This window comes from Homo sapiens, chromosome 4, assembly GCF_000001405.40.
Source record: "Homo sapiens chromosome 4, GRCh38.p14 Primary Assembly".
In the NCBI taxonomy this organism is placed as follows: domain Eukaryota; kingdom Metazoa; phylum Chordata; class Mammalia; order Primates; family Hominidae; genus Homo; species Homo sapiens.
Window position 1 is genome coordinate 85,090,986 of NC_000004.12, and position 23,669 is coordinate 85,114,654.

At 37.5% G+C, this 23,669-nt stretch overlaps 1 pseudogene; it reads left to right on the forward strand.

The window, feature by feature from the left end:
• RN7SKP48 (RN7SK pseudogene 48) lies at positions 9,511 to 9,836 on the forward strand (annotated as a pseudogene).

The following is a 23,669-nucleotide window of genomic DNA, read 5'->3' on the forward strand; positions in this document are numbered from 1 at the left end:
TTTCTTTCACATAAATTAGTAGCATTCTTTATGTTTTCTCTGTACTAATCCTTTGTTGATTATATGTGTTGCAAATGCCTTTTTCCACTTTGGGGCTCATTTACCTCCTCTTTCTATGGTGTCTTTTAATGAGAGTTCTTAATTTTAACGTAGTTAAATTTATCATTATTTCCTTTATGGTTAGCAATTTTTGTCCATGTTTTTGTAAATCTTGTTTATGATATATTTCCCTTCCCTGAAATCTTGAACATGTTTTCCTGTATAATATTCTAAGAGCTTTATAGTTTGCTTTTTTCATAGGTCTTTAATTTGCTTGGTAGTGATTTTAGTCTGTGGCAGGGGGCAGACCTTTTTTTTTTTTTTTTTAAAGACGAATCTATTCAATTACTCCAGACCATTTATTTATAATTTGTAATGAAACTTCTATGATCTATCATATTTCCCCAAGTTGTAGTAACACTTCTGTTATATCACATATTCATAGATGTGTGTGTTAGTTTTTGGATATCTTTTTCTGTTCCATTGGTCTAGTTTTCTATCCCTGCAGCATGACTAAACAGTCATATATACACTAGCTTTATAATAAGTATTGCTATTTTGTGACAAATTTCTTTCTAAACCACCCATCTAGCCTTAAGTTTTAAAGCTTCATATTCCAGGAATTGGCATATGCCCTCAGGAGTCATTCAAGTACTAATATATCACATTGTATCCCTAAATCTTCTTCATTTTGTGGCCTCTGACGATTTTCCTAACCTTCTGTGTTCTTAGCTACATATTTTAAATACTCTTTATTATAAGTTATCTCACATGGTGTTTTGTTTGGAAGGATTTTTCAGCATATCTTGTTCTCCATGTTGTCAGAGCAAAAGCCTCCTCCATTTGGCAAGGAGAAATAACATGCCTCAAAAAGCATTTCCACAATTTAAGCAGAAATACTACTTTAAAATATTTAAGTGAGTGTGAATAGAAAGATATGGAAGAAAAATTTAGTTTTATGACTTATCCCCACCATCATGCAGTCAATTATTCTCAGATTTTGATGGGATCTACTGATTAGATATTACATTTTGCATGCAAAATTTTCTTGTTTTTTGAGACAGGGTCTTGCTTTGTCACCCATGCTGGAGTACAGTGGTGTGAACATGGCTCTCTGCAGCCTCAAACTCCTGGGTTCAAGCAATTCTCCCACCTCAGCCTCCTGAGTAGCTGGGATCACAGGTGTGCACCACCATACCAAGCTAATTTCTACATTTTTTGTAAAGAGAGGGTCTCACCATGTTGCCCACGTTGATCTTGGACTCCTGGACTCAAGTGATCTTCCTGCCTTGGCCTCCCAAAGTGCTGGATTACAGGCGTGAGCCATTGCACCATGCTTGGCATGAAATATTTTCATAGAGATACTTAGTAGCCTATTATGGCATTCTGTTTCCTATAACACATACTAAATTCTTTTTAGTTAACTAACTGATGGTAATGTCTTAGAAGACAACTTTTAAAAAACATTTATATAATTCTTGCACACGTACCCTGGAACTTAAAGTATAATAAAAAAAATTTATATAATTCTTATGTATCAGGCACTATTTTAAACGATATGTAAACATTATCTGTTTTAATGCTCATAAAATTTGATGAAGTAGGTAGTAGTATAACAGATAGATTAACTGACACATGGGACAATTAATTGGGTTGCCTAAGGCCAACAGCTGGTAAATAGGGCAGGGATTGGAATCCAGACAGTTTGACTCCAGAGTTAGCACTCTTAACCACTATGCTACTCGTAGTGATTTCAGCTCATGTTTCTGTGGAGTTTGCACAGGTGAGAGAAGTCTTAATGAGTGAAACATGATAGTCAACCCAGAGGAGAAAAATCAGAAGTCATATAATATGATTTCATTACCTGTATTTGGCATATTTACAATAATTTGCCGGTGAGATGTCAAATGTCAAATGTAAGCATAATTTAAAAGTGGCTATAGTATTGTCTTAGTTCATTTGGGCAGCTATAACAAAATGCCATAAACTGGGCAGCTTGCAAACAACAAAAATCTATTTTTCACACTTCTGGAGTCTGGGAAGTCCAAGATCAAAGAGCCACAGATTTGGTGTCTGAGGACCCATTTCCTTGTTCACAGATGGCACCTTTTGTGTCCTCATGTGGTGAAAACGTGGGAACTAGCTCCTGTTTTATAAGGGCACTAATCCTATTCATGAAGGCTTATGACCTAATCACCTCCCAAAGAGCCTCTAACATCACCTTGAGGGTCAGGACTTTAACATAAGAATTTCAGGAGACACAGAACATTCAGACTATAGCAAGCATGCACAAACTATATTTTATTCATTTAACATTTTTGAGTGCCTGTTACATGGCAAATATTGTGCTACATGCTGAGGTTATGAATGTGAACAAGTCACGCCCTCCCTCCTCCAACTCTCAAGAAAGTTCACCAAAATGGCTGAAGGCGTTTCCATTAAAAAGAGATATATCTCTGCAGGAACTTTCTTAGATAAGCATGTTTGACAGTGGGAAGAGAAAGAGGAAAAGGTAAATCCATATAAAAGAAAGAAAGCAGGGAGATGGGTTATTTCCTTTGACCCTTTGCTGGTTTGTTCCTGTTTTACCTGTGCGAGTAGACTATTGCTATATTTCTAGGACAGTGTCCAGAGATATCTTTTTCCTTTGCTTTGGACACTGCAGGTAAGATGTAGGTGTGATAAATAATTTTGAGCTTGTTAGTTTCAGGGTAATTGGTGAGGAAGGAAAAAGAAGATGACATACCTCAGAGTTCACTAATTGGCATTTCTTCTTGAAACGTGAACAAGAAAGCAAAATTGGCAGTGTTCTAAGACAATAAGGCAAAGGATTGTCTGCTGTGCATACATGGCTGCTGTGACTTTTCATTTCAGTTGCGTGACCAACTTGTTTGTGACCTTGATTTGTGCCTGAGGGTTTCATTACCTGATTCTTAGAACTGTAAAATAAAAACCAACATGAAGCCAGTCAAAACCCAAAGTTGATAATCAACTATAAATTCTCTGAATTTTTAGGCTATTTGTTAGTTGCAAGTTTTAGATTTTTTGTACTCTATGTAAACACTTTCAAATCACATAAATGCTTCCAGAAAAGTCCACACAATATGCTCTTCATATAGAGCTGGTTCTACTAGTTGATAATCAGTAATATTATTTACTGGGCTCCTCTTCTAATAGGAGGGATAATTCCATACTATTTCCATTTATTCCCTTTTACCTTTACCTGGAACTTGTTTTCTTTGTGAAAATACCATGTAGAGGACAACCAAGTAGCATTTTGGCGAGAAAAAGATTTATATAAATTGACTGAATTAAGAAAACAGAACCTTTTGGAGCATTTTTTTTACTAATTTTTTTACTAAAGAAAGTGTATTTGTCACTGCATTTGCTATATGTCATATTCGAAACCATGTGGAATCTTTTTGAATAAAGAAACAGATCAGGTAAAAGCCTGGAAAAATGTGTAAGAAAATAACAAGTTGTAAGGAAATATTAGCAACAAAAATTTATGGTGAAATGAAACAAAGCAGTAGCATCTTAATAATCAGGAAGGCTAATGGATCTCTGCAACGTATCATTATAAAAGCATTTCAAAGGGCTGGGAAGCCATCCCACTTGGAACTCTTCGCGTAATCCTGAACCTTATATGACAGGAATGGTAACAAAGCATCAATAAAGACAGCCGTGATGATAAAATATCTTTAGGTCATAGCTCCTTTTGGAGACTAAAAAAAATAAGGTCAGTACTTATTCTGAGAGGAAATGAAAGGTGAACATGACTAAGGCAGATAAAGTTTGGAGTATAAAAAAGTATATGAAAGAAAACTCTTCAAGGATAAAATAGTTCAAAAGCAAGAGGGCATGAAATAGAACAAAGGAAGGACTGACGTTTAAAAGAATGCTATTAAAAGAGTGCAATTCAGGTGTGAAAATAATGACCAAAGGTAGCCATGGAAATTAATAAATGCTTCCATTTAGTAAGAAGGAATTTATGAGATACTTAGGTAAAATTATGGAACAAATTAGTGGGTGTTGAAAGTATGACCTGAATGTACTTTTAATGAAGAACTTCTATATTCTACCTTGAAGTATATCTTACAGATAATTTGCTCAGAGGTAAAAGATTACATCTACTGGGCAGCTGATGGCATGTTATATGCTGCTTTGAATTTATTGCTGACAGTCAATCAATTGTATATATAGGATTATGTTATGAAGTTTTTATTTACAAGCACATTTATAGGCCAACATAGACACCTGTCAATGGAGAAAACTATATTTTGCTAACTATGTAATTAATAAAAAGACATAACTAGGGTTTGCTGAAGTAGATCTGGGAAGTGACTATAGTCAATTATTCCAATTCAGTACCTTCTTTGTTAAGTGAAAGTAAATTGTATGCACATGAGACTTGTATTTCCCTGAGCTACACTAGCTTTTACAGGCAAAAATGTACTTACATTAATTACAGTAGATTATGTTTATTTTTCTCCTTGTTATTTTATTTCCACCTGCAGGATTTTTTACTACCTGTTATTTTGTGATTTCCATTACCACTCACATCTCTTCTATACATTTCTTGGCATCTCCAGGATGTTTCCTGTGATCTCACAAATATATCCCTTTAAACTATTACTCTCTATGCAAAGGCATTTTGCTAGTTGCATCTGGTATCCACAGTCCCCTATTAGGCACAACCACTAAGTACTAACATTGCCCTTGGGTGTTCTAAGGCAGTATCACACTATGTGAGGCCTTCAGCACACTGTGGGGCCCTTGGCCATACTTAACTTTCCCCAGAAAAGGTAAGGAGAGTGTCTCTTTCCTACTTTAGGTTCTCTTGTTACATGGATACCACAGTGGTGCCGTCTTGACTTTAGAGATTTTAGTGAAAAGGTCATATATAAAAAGATATACATGCATGCATATATATATATACACACACACATACACAAAATTAGGACTGAGATATGAGTCCATAGGTCAAGACAGATGGCTTATGAGAAACACTATGCTTTCTCCATGCCAATGATGAAGGTTTTGTTGCTCAGCCAAATCATTTATATTCCTTGCATGTATTCCTTCCCAAGGGGCTTGCTTCTCAGTCCTGAATGCAAATAGATTTCTATATTTCCTTCTTCCATTTCTTTCCCCCTAGTCTGTCAAAATCTATCAGAAAATTTAGACATGTCTGAAGCCCAGAGATGAACCACTAAGGTAAAACTTGGGAGATCTGGCTGAATGAGGAATCTTAAAGTAAAAATAAGGTGGAGAGGAAGTGGAGGGGAAGGAGAAGAAGAAAAAGGAAAAAAACATAAGAAAATGAAAATTCAAAACAAACAGTGAACCAGTCTCTCTTTCTCTTTCCCTCCCTTGATCCACACCTGTTCTTTCATTAATGCTCTGACTCTTTGATGTTTCTTAGTTTAATATTCAAAATTTTTCTTCTATTGGCATCAGAGTCTGATACTTCTTATCAAATGGGATCAATTAAATCCCACCAAAATATTTAACATTTTACACTTTAGAGAGTAAATGCAATTTCATGGTTCAAATGAAATTCAGTTTTAAGCACAGTGAATACCTTAGAGGCATCCAGCTTGATTCTTTTAATTTCTAAGAGAATGTCAGATGTGCACCCCTTTGGTTGCTGAAAAGAAGAAAATTCTCCATAGCTGTTTCCAATTCTCTTTGTATCCTGCTTCATGCCATTGTTGGTGGCTGGCTGCATCATTATAATATAGTTTTCCCTAGCATATTTTTTTCTCTCCTGGAACATAAGTTGCTGTTTCAACCTAGTTAAGCAGATCATTTTCATAGATGTTTCAGTAATATCAACAAAGCTTGCGAGCCACCAAATACTGGTGTGACCTGACTATGTGGACTTTGGTTCCTTTGATCTCTGGAAGGGAAGATGAGAAATCTCACAGGGTGAAGCAAGGCAAGTCCTAGCTGCTGGGACACCAGGTAACTTCCAAGGCTAGAATAGCTTTATGTTCTCTAAGAGTAGAAACACCTCATTTTCATGTACTGATGACTTTAGCTGCAGGGTCAATATTCACTTTAGCTGCAGTAAAATTAAGAAAGCTATGGCAAATTTCTCTTGTCGTTTTTAAAACCTGCTGGAGAAAAGCAATCTACAGATTCAATGCAATCCCTGTGAAAACTCCAATGGCACTTTTTACAGAAATAGAAAAAATTCTAAAATTTATATGAAACTATGAAAGATGCCAAATAGCCAAAGCAACTTTGAACATGAAGAGTGAAGCTGGAGGCATCATATTACTTTATTTAAAAATATACTACAAAGCTATACTAATCAAAACAGTATGGTACTAGCATAAAAACAGACTTGTAGACCAATGGAACAAAATAGAGAGCCCAGAAATCCAAATCTGTGCATTTACATTTATATGATCTTTGACAAAGGTGCCAAGAACACACAAGGGAGAAAGGATAGTCTCTTTAGTAAATAATGTTGGGAAAACTGGATATCCATATGTAGAAAAATAAAAGTGGACCTTTATTTTACACTATGTACAAAAATAAACTCAAATGGATTAAAATCTGCTGGAGAATTTAAGGTAGGAAATTTTTAAAAATTGAGAAAATCATAGATTCACATGCAATTGCGATACATAATACAGAGTGATCTCTTGTACACTTTGCTCCATTTCCCCAATGGTAACAACTATAGTGTATTAACAACCAGGATATTGGCATTAAGTCAATCCACCAGTCTTATTCAAATTTCCCCAGTTTTACATGTATTCATGTGTGTGTTTGTGTGGGTTTATTTTTATACAGTTTTATCATCTTGTAGGTTTATGATCCACCAGCACAGTCAAGATATTGAACAGTTCCAATGCCACAAAGATCTCTCCTCTTGCCTTTTTGTAATCATACCTGTCTCACTACTGCCCCAACATACTCTTTAAATAACCACTAAAATTTTGTCCCTCATTTCCATACTTTCATCATTTTAATAATGTTATATAAATGGAATCATAAACACAGTGTAAACTTTCCTTAATAAACTTTATTTTTTGAGTATTTTGCGTTTACAGGAACATTAAGCAGAAAGTATAGAGAGCTCCCATATAACCTCTGTTGCCCAATTCCCATGCACAGACTCTCCTGCTATCAACATCCTGAACCACAGTACTATATTTGTCAGTCTATGAACGTAGAAACCTACATTGACACATGATTATTACCCAAAGTCCATAGTTTACATTAGGGTTCACTCTTGGTGTTGTATGTATACCTATGGAGCTTGGCAAATGTCCAGTGAAATTTATCCACCATTATGGTATCATACAAAATAGTTTTACTGTCCTAAACATCTGTACTCCAACTATCCCTCTCTCACCCTAACAACCCCTGCAACTACTAACCATTTTATTGTCTCCATAGTTTTACCTTTTCCAGAATGTTATATAGTTGAAATCATACATAATGTAGGCTTCTGGAATTGGCTTTCTTCACACAGTATAAATCTCTGGAGAATCATCTAGGTTGTCATGTATATTAATAATTTGTTTCTTTTTATTGCTGAATAATATACCATAATGTGAATGTACCACAATTTGTGTAATCATTCACTTGGTAAAGGACATCAGGACTAATGCCAGTTTTTGGCTTTTATGAATAAAACTGTTAAGAACATTCATGAATAGATTTTTGTGTGAATGCAAATTTTCATTTCTCTGGCATAAATGCTCAGAAGTATAATTGTTGGTATATTAGTTCATTTTTACACTGCTGATGAAGACATACCTGAGACTGGGTAATTTATAAAGGAAAAGAGGTTTAATGGACTCACAGTTCCACGTGGCTGGGGAGGCCTCACAATCATGGCAGAAGGCAAAAGGCACATCTTACATGGCAGCAGGCAAGAGAGAATGAGAGCCCAGCAAAAGGGGAAACCCCTTATAAAACCATCAGATCTCGTGAGACTTATTCACTACCATGAGAAGAGTATGGGGGAAACCACCCTGTGATTAAATTATCTCCCACTGCCTCCCTCCCACAACACGTGGAAATTAAGGGAGCTACAATTCAAGATGAAATTTGGGTGGGGACACAGCGAAAACGTATCAGTTGGGTTATATAGCAATTGAGTGTTTAGCTTTATAAGAAACTGCTAAGTTATTTTCCAGAGTGTTTGTATCATATTACAGCCCCACCAGCAATGTATGAGTGATCCAGTTTTTCCACAGCTTTGGTAGCCTTTGGTGTTGTCACTTTTTAATTTTAGCCATTCCGATAGGTGTGTATCGAAATCTCATCGAGACTTTAATTTGCATTTCCCTAGTTGATAATGATGTTGAACATTGTTTTATGTGCTTAATTGCCATCTGTGTGTGCTCCTTGGTGAATTGTCTCTTCATATCCTTTGTCCATTTTCTAATTGAATAGTTTGCTTTTTTACTGTTGAGTTTTGCACATTCTTTATATATTCTATGTAATAGTCTGTTGTTAGATATGCTAATCTGCAAATATTTTCTCCCAGTTTGCATCTTGTCTTTACGTTCTCTTCCCACGAGCTCTCACAGAAAAAAATATTTAAATTTTGATGAGGTCGAATTTATAAGATTTTCTTTTTATAGATTGGGCTTTGGTATCAATTCTGATAACTCTATCTAGCTCTAGATCCCAAAGCATTGCTCCTGTGTATTTTTTTTTCTAGAAACTTTATAGTTTCAGATTTTATATTAAAGTCTATGGTCCATTTTGAGTTCATTTTTGTATAAGGTGTAAGATTTAGATTGTTTCTTTATTTATTTTGCTTATGGATGTCCAAATGCTGCAGCACTATTTATTGAAAAGGCTATCCTTCTTTTCTGAAAGTGTCGTTGTATCTTTGTCACCTAACCATATTTATGTCATCTATTTTGTTTCATTGATCTGTTTCCTTCTTACTAAGGTAGTCTATTTTTGCCATTGAATTTGTTGAGTGCATGTACTGTAAATGGATTCACTATAATTTATTTTAAGATCAATAGTTTATCATCATTCCAGAGTTTTCTTATTTTTAAAAAGCTAGTGAATCAAAAGCAGAGATAATGACAATAGCTAAGATTTATTAAGAGCTTATAATTTACCAGGTACTATTCTAAGTACTTTCTTTTGTACAACTACCTTAAGAGGTCAATACCATCCTTATTTTATAGATAAAGAAACTGGAGCAAAGAGGGGTTGAAGGTTACATAGCACTGTGACTCTAGAGATAGGACTGTTATTCACAATGCCAGACAAGTTCTTAGAAGGGGACATATTTATGCCTCTTAAGAGCATGGATAATATTGCTACAAAAGATACTGCTATGAAAGTTTGTACCTACATTTTGCTGACAAGCTGACCCATTATAAGAATAAAGATGTAAATTAAAGAGCAAAACATGTCTGCCTAAAAGTACACAGAATTTCCTGAAAGACATCTTTGAATGACATTCAAAAAAATTTTTCTGGATGTGAGGGCAATCTGGCTGCAATATCTTTCGCCCCATTGATTGGCAGGGTTGATTTGGCTGATCTGGCTGGCTAGGCAGATGTCCCCTTCTTCCCTCACCACTCCATGTGCATCCCTACCAAAGCTGTGCACTCGGTCAAAGAGGACGACCATCCCCGAGAGAGAAGGACTGGTCTTCAGTCAAGGGTATATGAGTAGCTATGTCCCCTTCTAGAACCTCCAAATAAGCTCTCAAGGTCAATTTGTAGCAGAACGTAGGGTAGTCAAGCTTCCAAGACTCCAGACACATCCAAATGAGGTGCTGCATGTGGCAGTCTGCCTTTTTAAAAAAAAAATTCCTTACTTTTTCTTGCTATTTTTAACCTTTACTTTGAGAATATGCACCTGATTTTTGTATTAATTAAAATAAAAAGATGAAAGAAAAAGGTTATGTTTTTAGAACACTGGATGGTATATATTGACCTACTGTTATTTCTCCATGGTTTTACTTAAATCACACCTTGTATACATAGAAAATGTTGCATTAATCCTCTTATAAGTGAGCTTAGATTTTTTGATAGTAAAAAGCAAATGACTTTTTCATAAAACCCTCTGACTTGGGTGTTTTGATGTGCATAATGAAGTTTATGAAGCTCTTTAAATATATTCACTGTAAAGCCCTTGTTGAGATTATGAAACTTGTTTTTAAGAAATGATTATTTTAATGATAGTCTTTATTACAGAAGTTCTTTTTCTTATTGTTACTCTAGTATTTTCCTTCACTTTCACGGTAGTGTTAACATTCACCATATAATTCATCATTATGAATAGAGAGAGCAACGGATAAAACAAGAGTGTTTTGTTTCTGGATGAATCCCAGGAAAATTTTAAGTCCCTTATTCAATTATGCATGGTACCACATTATGAATATGGTGAATGATACGGTGAATGTTAACACCACCATGAAAGTGAAGGAAAATACTAGAGTAACAATAGTCAGAAGTCTCTTCTGATTTATAAAACTGTAAGAGAATAAATTTATGTTGCTTTAAGTCATCAAGTTTATGGTTACAGCAATCATAGGGAATGAATTATAAGAGTCTTACTATAATAAGCCAGTAAAGAAATTTTAAAATACAGTTCAAGGAAAAAGTTCTTATTTGACAAGGCAGTTTTAAGGAGAAAAGAAAGCTGAAGTGCAAAGTGAGGATGGAGTAGAAAGGTAAGAAAAGAGTAGCAAAGGAGAAGGGAGTAGCTAGGTGAGGCTGTGAAGTTTGATATCTGTCGAAGACTGGCCAGAATAATGAACTGGAAATGGTTTAAGCTTACTTCTGCTTTGGTTGCATAGCAAACAACTATGTAAATTATGTCCACCAGAAAAGTACACCAGTGAATGTGTGCAGTTACCTGATGACCCTCTTGTTCCTCAAGGAGCTGTCACCTAGGTTCTGTGATCAAATATTGCCTTTTAAGTAATTAGTCTGAGGGTGGGGACATGGTCTATCAGTGGTCCACGTACAACCAGTGAAGTTCTTCCTACCTGTGCCATAGTCGCATATGACTATGTTCTATTTTTTGTTGTGTTTTGGGTCTATAGCAGGCCTGGACATAACCTACCACATGAGCTTTCCAAATGCTGAAAGATAATATCTCATACAAATTCCATTTCACATTCTATTTTTTTCAGTAATTGAGTTTATATTATAGTGGTAGCATTTTCTTCTTTATTCCTCCAGTAAGAAGCGGAGGTTCTACTCAATTTTGAACTTGTCTGGTATATATATATTGCACAGACTCTTTTTTTTGTCTCAGCAAAAATGATGTAAGATAGAAAACCCTCTGTTGCTAGGTTGAGAGGGAGAGGAAGAGAGAGTGACGGATAAAACAAGAATGTTTTTTTTGTGGATGAATCCCAGGAAAATTTTAAGCCCCTTCTTCTGTTATGCATGGTACCAAAACAACATGGCCCTGTCATAGTGAGAGGTTAGACCTAGATGAGGAAGGTGTCCAAGCCTCAAGGTTGAAGGCCATTTAAGTGTGATACTGAGAAAGCAGCCTAACATTATCAGCCTAACATTATCAGGCTTCCTATGGGAATAAGATAATCTATGGTACCCTGTGGTTAGGACAAGGAGGACAGAGTGTGGGGCCCAAAGATGCAGAGAAAATATTTAAATAGTCATATTTCAGCAGATAACAGTGCAGGAGACATAGGGAATCATGTGAAATGAGGGATGTTTCCAAGGAGGTGATAAAGATCTAAAAAACAAGGACAGGAGTACATCAGATGCCCCTTGTACTGGTGCCAGGATGATAAGTAAGCGCCTCAAGAATGTAGATTATGCAGAAAAGGGAGAATCTAAATAAGCAGTCCCTGAGATGATACCTCCCAAAGACTAATCTGAAACAGCATGAGTTAATCTTACAGAAAAAACTGGGGCCTCAAAACTGGATGAGGTTAGTTCTAAAAATAAAGCAATTTACATTAAAACATTTTTTGGGACAAAAATTTTGACTCTCACAATCCCTTAACTTACATTCTTAAGTACTTCTTAATTATCTCAAAGAATGGTGATCATTGACTTCATACTTGTCAAGCCTAGTGACTCTTCTGTAGTCTTTATTCTACAATTTCTGTGCTGGTTTTAGAACCATCTTCCCTCAGATTCCTCCTCACCCATATCCTTCTCTGGGTTGTACTGTTGGGGTCTGTTTCCTGGTCTTCCATACGGCTTGCTTATAGGTGAGACAATGGGAGACCTGCTGAAAACTGTCAGGGGATTTTTCTGCCAACTTTAATATCTGAATCATACCTAGGTCTGCTTTGATTTTTTAAATTCTTTTGACTTTTAAGACACATTTTACTGCCTTTTCAAATGTCCATAAATTGTGATTGTTGCATTATATTACAATGGGTGGTTCACTCATCTTCTCTATCCCCAACCTCAAGCATAAGTAAGTTTCCTAATGATTACAGCACCTGGCTCATAGAGAATAGACATTAAAAGTTTATTGGCTAAATGAATAGCTATAGGTATGGGGTGAGGTAACAGAGAGAGCCTCCTCCTGAAGGATTGATCAGAATCAATGTTTGCCATAATTGCGATATCCTACTGAGAATCACTTTCTGTAAGTGTAATTCATGGAAATATGCCTTATCCTCAGGAATACTCATGTAGAGAAAAGGTGAGAAGCTTTGCTTTATAGAGAAGAGAGTTTTCCATACAGGCCTGCCTTTTGACTTATTGGAAAGGGAGAGGACTGGACTGAAAATGAACGTAGATCCAAAAATGGTACAAATATGGAGATAATGCTTTTCAAACTTTTCCTTCTAATTACTCATCAGGGCAGAGGAAGGTAAATATGCACATCTGGATCTGAGTTGGAGGTAATGATGATGTGGACCAAGAAACCAATCTGCCATAGGCTAAGAGTCTATCTTGAACATTAATTTAGATGTCAATTCTTAAGTTAATATTCAAGATAGACTCTCAGCCTATGACAGATTGCCTTCTTGCTCCATATGGACACACGGAGGGGAACAATAACATACTGGGGATTTTCAGAGGGTAGAGGGTGGGAGGAGGGAGAGGATCAGGACAAATAACTAATGGGTACTAGGCTTACTACCTGGCTGATGAAATAATCTGTACAACAAACCCCCATGACACAAGTTTACCTATGTAACTAACCTGCAGTTGTACCCCTGAACTTGAAATAAAAGTTAAAAAAATGTCAATTCTACTCCTACTTGTGTGTTTGAATATGAAAGTCTTCTCTTACTTTTTTTTTTTTTTTTTTTTTTTGAGACAAAGTCTCGCTCTGATGCCCAGGCTGGAGTAAAGTGGCACAATCTCGGCTCACTACAAACTCTGCCTCCTGGGTTCATGCCATTCTCCTGCCTCAGCCTCCCCAGTAGTTGGGACTACAGGTGCCTGCCACCTTGCCCGGCTAATTTTTTGTATTTTTAGTGGAGACAGGGTTTCACCGTGTTAGCCAGGATGGTCTCAATCTCCTGACCTCGTGATCAGCCCGCCTCAGCCTCCCAAAGTGCTGGGATTACAGGCATAAGCCACTGCACCGGGCTCTCTTACTTTCAATAGAGTTGATATTCTAAGTGTGTGGCATGACTTTTACTCTGAGACATTGTCTATCACTGGCTCAGGCTTCTTCAGCAGGAGCTTCATATTTTCCATGCTTCTACCTTGAGAAGTACGGCACAAAGGAAAAGATACATCACTTGCTGGTCGCAGACCTCATTCCAAGAGAACATTTTGACAGAGGAGGAGAGCTGGAGGTGGTCAGGTGCTTGCAGTGCGGGGCAGGAGAGGAGTTTGGGATGTGGATGGGAGAGGCCACTGAAAACTTAGAGTGGGTTTTCCTTTGGATTTTTACTTTGGTTAATTCTGGTATTTAAAAATTTTGGGCAGCAATGATTTTGATTAATAGTAACCACATCTTTTCCCTTCAATCATTTAAAATGGCTCCATTTTCCTGTTATAAAATGGCCAGTAAGAGAAAATCTGATCTTTGTGGATAACCTGTGTGTCCTGCCCTAAACTAAAACGCTTAAATATTGTTACTGTGGTCTCAGAAGACAAAATGTCCCAGATCTATTTATTTTTAGTAAGCGCACCTTACTAAAGCACACTTCACCTTTGCTCTTACCAGGTATGTACAATCCCATTTAGGAGATCAGTGCTGAGCTGGGGGAAATAGAAGCCCTGAACACTCTGAAATCTTATATGCAAATTATATCACAGTTGCATTATTTGCTAAAGTTCATTTTGAGGCACTCTGGGATGTGATTAATTTTAAGGGTAATGCAGGATGTTGTCTACTGAATTCAGAAGCCCTGAGGGATAAATACATTTGCCTATTTTCTTATTACTAAGGGGATGGTTAATAGAAAATGGAAGCAGAATACTTACAGTAGAACATTATAGTATCTAATTTTTACAGGAGGCATAAACTATGCTGGGAGCTACGCTATAGGATAAATGAGCCTATTGCAGCACAGATCAGGCTAATAAAATAAATGTATGTAAAAATATGTTTATTTGCTCTCTTCTATGCATCACAAGAATGCCTCGTGCCTCTTGGAGAAGAGTCCATCATCCACCTGTGTACTATCTATCTGTCTATCTATCTATCTATCTATCTATCTATCTATCTATCTATCGATCTATCTATCCATCTCTCTATTTATCTATCTACCTATTTATCTATCTTTCAAACTCTTCCAGATCTCCTTAGCCATAATTTACCACCTCCTTATTTAAACTTATATTCCATAACATCTACAACAATCATTTGACAATTCATCTTGTAATGCACTACTTTAAAATTGATATTTAGATTCTGTGTGGCATAGCTAATATATTTTCTTCCTAACTGGACTATAAGCCTTCAGGGAACAGGGACTATGATTTTCTTTATGTGTTGCACAAATATCCTAATGTAGATATGAATGAATATTTTATGGAGTTGTTTCAGTTATATTTTTTTCAGTTATATTGTTTTCAGTTATATATGTTTCAGTTATATATGTTTTAAATGTGTTTCAGGCACATTTAAAACAATAATAATAGAAAATGGAATTTCAAAAATATTTAGCATTTCCTCAAGGAGCCAGGTATATGTAGTCAGATTATTTTCCTCTTCATGAGTAACTACTCATGCCAATTTATTTCATGAATATTATTGAGAATTTTATTTTTAGGGCACTGTTATGCATGGTGGAAGGGAATGTGGATGTGTCCTGAATGTAATGAAGAAAGGATATACATAAACATCTAACTATTGAGAAGTCTTACTTCTCAATGTGTGTTCTGTGGACCAGCAGCCTTGGCAACACAGGGATCTTGTTAGAGAAATGCAGAATCTCAGCCACCAATGAGACCTACTGAATCAGATTTGCATTTTAGCAAGATCTCAGGAAATTTGCATGCTCATGCAAGTCTGAGAAGCACTGGACTACAAAACACCTTCCAAAATCACTGTTCTTTCCCTGCTTCTAAACTGGCTTCATATATGGTGTTCATCAGATAGTTCCACAGGAGGACAATGGAATGGGGCAAGGAACTAATGTCTATTGGCCACCTACCTTCAAATACAGACAGACCTAGAGTTATCCTTCCTCCCTCTTTTCCCACTTCCAGATTCTCTGTTATTGTTAAGCTCATGGTAACAGGAGTTACAGACTTATAAATTTCTACATCATCGTAATTGCTGTTTAGCTATATGGTCTAGCAGTGATGACTTTCAGGGAAATATCACTTACGTGACTTTTGTTGGTTGTATTCCCATCTAATACTACACTCCTGGATAGAACCATGCGTTACAACTTGGGGCAGCATGCAGGAGTGATTGAGATGAAGTGCTAGAGTGGCACCTCTATCTGTTTGTAATGCTGGGTGTATTTTACACGCTAATGAATGACCTTACTGACTGCTAACGCATGCCAGAAAGCATTAATTTGATCCAGTTTTTACTGAGCACTGACGGATCCTGTCAGAAATAGGACTAGAAGATGAGATTAGACATTCCCTTAACTAGGTTTTAGAAAAGGACAGTATCTTTAGTTCCGTAAAATGAGTTGACATGTGGCATTAAATTCATTGCTGTTATCTGTCATAGGCTTTTCTGGGAAGAATAATGAAGGCTAAACTGTATTAGAAATCTGGCTCAATCTTAATATTGCAAATCTGTTGGTAGGCCAGAAACAATGTAATTTTATCAGAAGGACTTTGGTTTGTAGAATTGTAATTGATGGAAGAGATAGCTTATACCATCAAAATTTTTCTTTGGGTTTTGAAAAATTTCACAAAAATCCAATAATTTAATATACAAAAATGAATTATGGTTCACAATATAAAAGAGACTAAAGAATAAATGAGGCAATGTCTCATTAAGCATGGTGGATAGCATACATGCACTCACTGCCACCTCCACTAAAAGCTTCCTAAAATGACAATACAGAGGTTTTTTTTTTAAAAAAAGTCATAAGCTCCATGAACAGAAAAACCAGGACAGGGGAAAAAAACACATAATTTGGAAGGAGAAAAGCAGCTTGTTCTGGTTATGTATTGCTATGTATTTGACTATCCCAAAAGTTAATGGATTAAAACAACGATTTTATTATACCTTACAATTTTTGTGGTCAAATCTTTGGGCAAGTCTCAGCTGGGTGATTCTCTCATTCCATATGCATTGACTGTGGTCACTCAGTGGTATTCGTCTGGCAACTGAGCTAGTCTGGAGTCTCCACGATGGCCTTACTCACACACCTTGGCAGGAACAGCTGGAAGTCTGTGCCCAGCTGGATCTCCTTTCCTCTCCATAAACTCTCAGTCAGGGCTTCACCTGCAGGGTGGCTGGACTACATACCCGGCAACTCAGAGCTCCTAGAATGAGCGTTCAGTCTGTTAAGGCCTGGGTCTAACAGTTGGCACAGCTCTCATTCTGTCATATTTTATTAGGCATGTGCTAATCTCAATAGAACAGATGGGGTCAAAAATTTAGGGCCATCCTTAATCTATCACCCAGATGAATAGTAACATACTTAGAAGACCAGAGGAATCTGAAACCCCAGTCAGGAATAAGAGACGTGCAAAGGTCAGCTGAGTCCTGCCACAGAATTCTAGAAAGGCTTAGGAATTTCATGTCCTTCTGGAAAGAGGGAGAGGGGTCCAGGTAGGGCTTAAAACGTACGGGCTAGTTGAAAGTCTGTATAAAAACAGTCAGATCCTCTGATACCCTCCCAAAGCTTGCTGATCCTCTTGTCCATGCAGATAGGAGATCAGAGGCTTAATTTTTGGAGACATTGAACCACATAACTGAAAGCAGAGAACTACACAGAAAATAAATATATTAAGTAAAACTCTATATTGTTCCATGAAATGTCCTTTCCCACATTCACTACATTACCTCTGATGATACTGGCAGACTCTCAGATAAGGGCTGGAGGCTTCTTCTCTGGTGAAATTTAACAGTCCAAGAGAAAGCGTCTACAGATTTTGAGAGCTGTGGGGCCCGGGGAAATGCCACCATCAAATCCATCTTCAGTGAAGCAGTCAACATGTCCCATCTAAGCATAGAGCACCTATCTACTCAGCCTTGTAGTGTCTCCTTCTTTTTTTTTTTTTTTGAGACAGAGTTTCGCTCTTGTCTCCCAGGCTGGAGTGCAATGGCACAATCTTGGCTCACTGCAACCCCTGCCTCCTGGGTTGAAACAATTCTCCTGCCTCAGCCTCCCGAGTAGCTGGGATTACAGGCGCCTGCCACCATGCCCAGCTAATTTTTGTATTTTTAATAGAGACGGGGTTTCATCAGTGTCTCACTCTTAAAGTGAGCAGATAATCAAGGATCAACAGATATTTGAGGAAGTGTTTTAACATGCCAAACCAAACAAGTAGAAATTAATTTTTTTCCATTTGTCCTGAAAATACTTGTTGGCAGTGCTTGTGGCAGCAGCATTTACCCCGAGATAACTTTGCTATGAAAGATTTCACTTTTATTATTATTTTTGCATCACTTTAGTATATCAACCTCGGAAACCAAAGACATCATTTTGTTTATAGCATTCTGTTTTTTAGTGGTGGTATTTCCATTGACTAAATAGAGTAATTCTCAATTGCTGAAAATGTCAAATCCTAGAAAATGTAACATTCCTACATGTGATGTTAACATTATTCTTGAATAGTTGTTGGCCACAGATTCATTTAATGAGTCTGATTTTTCTGAAATAGACAATCCTGATGATTATGATGTTCTAATGTTAGTTCTGTTCAGAAATAACTTCAGGAAGAACAGTTTTTATATATTATTTTCACAGGAAAATCAGTCACATTTGATTCAGGCTCAAAGAGTATGTTTATGTAAAATTAAATGAGCACTGGCAGTGAGCTGCACTTTTTTTTTCCTAAATGGGAAAAAGGTTAAGAACACTGGGCAAATAAAAAAATGTGAAGAACAAGGTAAAATTAGAAAATTACAAGAGGTGGGGTGGAGCAAGACAGGTGAATAGAAGCCTCCACTAGTCAATCCCTCCTGCAGGAACACCAAATTTAACAAATATCTACACAAAAAAATCACCTTCACAGGAACCAAAAATCAGGCAAGCACTCACAGTACCTCGCTTTTACTTCATATCACGGAACAAGGCACTGAAGCGGGTAGGAGAGTCAGTCTTGAATTGCCGACACCACACCTCTGCCATCCCCCTACAGTGGCCTTGTGGCATGGAAAGAGAATCTGTGCACTTGAGGGAGGAAAAGTGTAGTGACTACGGGACTTTGCATTGAACTCAGTGCTTCTCTGTCACAGTGGAAAGCAAAACCCGGCTGAACTCAGCTGACACCAATGCAGAAAGCATTTAGGACAACCCTAGCCAGAAAGGAATCACCCATTGCAAGGGTCAGAACTTGACTTTTGGCAAGTCTCGCCACCACAGGCGAAAGTCCTCTGAGATCCTAAATAAACTTGAATGGCAGTCTAGGCTACAAGGACTGAAACTACTAGGTAAGTCCTAGTGCTATGCTAGGCTCAGAATCAGCAGACTTAGGGGGAATGCAACCTAGTGAGATACTAGTCAGAGCAGCTAAGGGAGTGCTTATGCCACCCTTCTCCTAACCCCAGGTAGCACAGCTCATAGCAAGGAAAGTGAGTCTGTCCTTCTGATTGAGGAGAGGCGAGTGAAGAGTAAAGAGGACTTTGTCTTGCAACTTGGATACCAGTTCAGCCACAGTAAGACAGAGCACTGGGCAGAGTTATGAGGTCCCCATTCCAGGTCCTAACTCCAGGATGATATTTCTAGACACACCCTGGGCTCGAAGTGAACCTGCTGCCTTGAAGGGAGAGACCCAATCCTGGCAGAATTCATCACTTGCTGACTAAAGAGCCCCTGGACCCGGAATTATCAGCAGTGATACCCAGATAGTATTCCATGGGCCTTGAGTGAGACTCTGAGACATGCTGGCTTTAGGTGTGATCCAGCACATTCCCAGTGGTGGTGCTACAGTGGGAGACTCCTTCTGCTTGAGAAAAGCAGAGCGAAAAATAAAGGGGTCTTCATTTTGCAGCTTAGGTACTAGTTTGGCCACAGTGGGGTAGAGCACCAAATAGGCTCTTGGGGTACCCATTTCCAGGCATAGGTTCTTGGATTGCATTTTGGCCTGCCCTGGGTCAGAGGGGAGTTCACTCCCCTGAAGGGTGAGCCCTAGGCCTGACAGCATTCACCACAAGCTAACAGAAGAAGCCTTGGGCTTTAAGTGCACATTGGCAGTAGCCTGGCAATACTCTCTGTGAGCCTGTTGTGGTGGTGGCCATGGTGAGAGGCTCCTCTGCCTGTGCAAAGAAAAGTGAATAGCGAAAAGGGCTTTGTCTCATGGTTTGAGTGCCAGCTCAGGTGCAGTAGAGAAGGAATTCAGAATCTTATCAGATACATTTAACAAAGAAATTGAAATAATTAAAAAGAATCAAGCACCAGGTAGATTTCTAAGGTTTTCGACTCCAGTCCCTGGCTCCCGGATGGCATCTCTGGACCTGCCCAGGGCCTGGGGGAACTCACTGCACAAGAGACGTGGCTGGATTTGCCACCTGCTGTTGTGGAGTCCCAGGGCCTTCAGTTAACATAGGCGGTAACCAGGCAGTGGCTATAGCAGGCCTTGGGTGAGACTCAGTGCTGTACTGACTTCAGGTCTGATCCAGCACGGTCCCAGTGATGGTGGCCACAGTGGTGCTTGTGTCACCCTTCACCTCCAGGCAGCTCAGCACAGACAGGGAGACTCCATTTGTGTGACAGAAAGTAAGGGAAAAGAACAACAGTCCTTGCCTGGTAAATCAGTGAATTCTGGATCTTATCCAAGACGACCAAGGCAGTACATCTACGAGTCTGTAAGAATCACAGCATAACTAGTCTTGAGGTGCTTCCTAATGCAATATGTCTTACATCACAACACCCAAGTCCTTTTGAATACCTGGAAAGCCTTCCCAAGAAGGACAGGTACAAACAAGCCCAGAGTGTGAAGACTACAATAAATACCTAATTCTTCAATGACTAGACACCAATCAACATCTACAAGCATCAGGACCATCCAGAAAAACTTGACCTTACCAAATGAACTAAATAAGGCACAAGGGAGCAATCCCAGAGAGAAAGAGATATGTGATCTTTCAGAGAGAGAAATCAAAATAGTTGTTTTGAGAAAACTCAAATAAATTTAAGATAACATAGAGAAGGAATTCAGAATCTTATCAGATAAATTTAACAAAGAAATTGAAATAATTAAAAAGAATCAAGCAGAAATTCTGGAGTTGAAAATGTAACTGGCATATTGAAGAATGCATCAGAGTCTCTTAGTAGCAAAACTGATCAAGCAGAAGAAAGAAAATTATAATTAATATACTCAAACAGTTGGGGAAAATATATAAATAAAACAACAAAGGATGCTCTAATAAAGGAAAATTGAGTAAACAAGCTAGAATTCTTGGAAATGAAAACTATAGAATCAGAAATCAAAAAGTCAATAAAAATTTTAAAAGACAAATTTGAGAAAATTGTATGAGTAAAACAACCAAAGAGATGAACAATAGTACAGAAGTTATAAGAAAGAAAGTTCAGGAGGTTTCCCATCTAGATAATATGGTACACACACAGAGAGAACAGAGAAAACAGAAAGGGAATAAGCAATTGGAGGGAAAAATCATGAAAATAACTCAGCCCTGAAGGATATGAATTATCAGATTGACAGGGACCACAAAACAAAAAGGATAAGAAAAGCATGCATGTTATGACACATAATCATGAACTCTTAGGATACCAACGACAAAGAGAAACTCCCCAAAGCTTCCAAGAAGAAAGAGAACTGACTAGGATTAAAAATTGCACACATTCACTCATGAACAACGCTGGATGCTAGACGATAATAAAATGGCATGTTCAAAATTCTGATTGAAATGATTTTCAATCTGAAATTTTAAGCTCAGCTGAGCTGTCAATCAAGTGGGTAGAAAAAGACGCAATGCTTTTAGCTAGTTGAAATGCGATAAAATGTATTCAGGATCCCCCCTCCCCCCGCAAATTGTGAATGATCATTTCTCTTTATTATGCATTCTATTTTCATTAGACTGTATGGTGTTCAAGGGATGCAACTTTAATTTTTAATTGTCCTACATACCATCTGCAAAAAGTAGGCATTAATGAATAGTGTTTATGAATAAATGAACTTTGCTCTACTTTAAATCATGATTATTTGAAGTACTGCATATAATAGTGTTGCTTTGACATATGAAAGCAACTTATTTCTTTATTTGCCATTTATTGATACTATATTTATTATTTACTCACAGATTTTTTTTTTTCTCCATGATCTGGGTCCATTTAGAGGTAAAGATCTTTCATCTTGTTATTCTGTTATTTGATCCAACAGTCTAAAGGATTTTGTTGCTTGAATATTTAGGAAGAAGAGTAGAATATGTTGCTCACATTTATTATAACAAAATATTTCCAGAGCCATTTATGATTATGTTGACCTGATAACACCAACTGCCAATAAATTAAAGACACAATTTGAATTTTCCCCTGTTGTAATTACTCTCCAGACCACTAATCAGATGCTTAATTACTTCCAGCATTACTGTTGGTAATAAAATCTTTACTGCCACCAGTGAATAGGAGCAGTAATGAATAAGGGAACAAGCTGATTGATTGACACTGTGGAGGGTGGCTCTGGATCTTATGAAGAATGGCTCAAGGAGAACTCAGGGATTGTTGTGACAATCTGGAAATCAGAAAATACTTTGATTTGAAATTGTCAAGAACAGTAGAGATCAAGTGAAAGTCAGCTTGGATGAGGTGTAGAAATATTTCGTACTTGAAAGAGAATGCAGACATCGGAATAATAGGAAGCAAAACTGACCTCAGGAACTAAGCAGAAATAGTCAGAATCAAAGGATATAGGAAGTCATTACCTTACCAATGCACACCTATTTGTTTTTATTCTACATATATGTAACAGTAACTGTGTAATTTCTTCTGCTCACAGCAAAACTTTATTTATTTTTGCTTTCAGGAAGACTGACTTGGGAAGTGTTGAGATATTTGACTTTCTATTGAGATAACTTAGAGGATGTACAAAGAATATCATACCACCAGCAATAGTTCCAAAGGCAGTTACAAGGCTGATGGCTACAACTTTGTGTAGAACTGTGTGTCTACCCATGGGCTAATTATCAAAAAATGTTGTGGTGTGCTGGGAGCTGTCCAAGTGCAAAGATGGGGACATACTGGGCCATGAAGAATGGATGCCTTTGTGGTTAGAGATGCCAGTGATACCTTCCGTACGCATACTCTTAGGGATTCTGGCTCTTTCTAATCCCTGGGATGGATAGCTCTATGTATAACATGCCTTCATCCTTCCTGCCATGACTGATTGATTGGACCATGGATAGATTTCTGACCCATGCTATGCCTGGAATTCGGAGTTGAGATACTGAGAGTTTGATTCAGATAAACAGTGGTAGACACCAAACCCATGAGTTCATGCAAACTTAGAAATTGTTTTCTTTTTGGCCACACACAGTCATGGAGAGAAATGGAGCAGAGGAAGAAAGACTAAGCTAATGCTTATGTGACTGCTGTGTGATGGAGACTGTGATAGTGACTGGCTTTTCAATCCAATTCTTATTTACAGGAGGCCTGACTTTATTTAGATACTTTGAAAATATAAACTTAAAATACACTTCACTACCACAGCTTGAAGGGGATTCTGTTCTTAACAACAGTCAATCCACTTTCATTAATCTATTCAGTTTTTCTAACCCAGCAATGAAGTTGACCAGTTAAGATAATATGTCATTATCGAATGCCTTCCATCTATTATAATCACAGTTTTATAGTTACTTGGATTTTATCCCTCTCCTTTCGAAGACTGTGAACTCTGATTTTTTTAAACAAGAACTTTATCCCAATTTGTTTCACATAGTGGGTGGCCAGTTGCTTGCTGAAATTGAGTATTGATTGAGCTGCAGTAAATTTGGCTGATGAGAGACATGTTTGGCTTAATGCCCCAAGAAAACAATATTTCTAGTACTATTCACATATATTCTCAAAAATTTCCCTTTAAATTTCTTACATGAAAAATTAGGTATGGATGTTACAGTGTGTGCATCCTTTG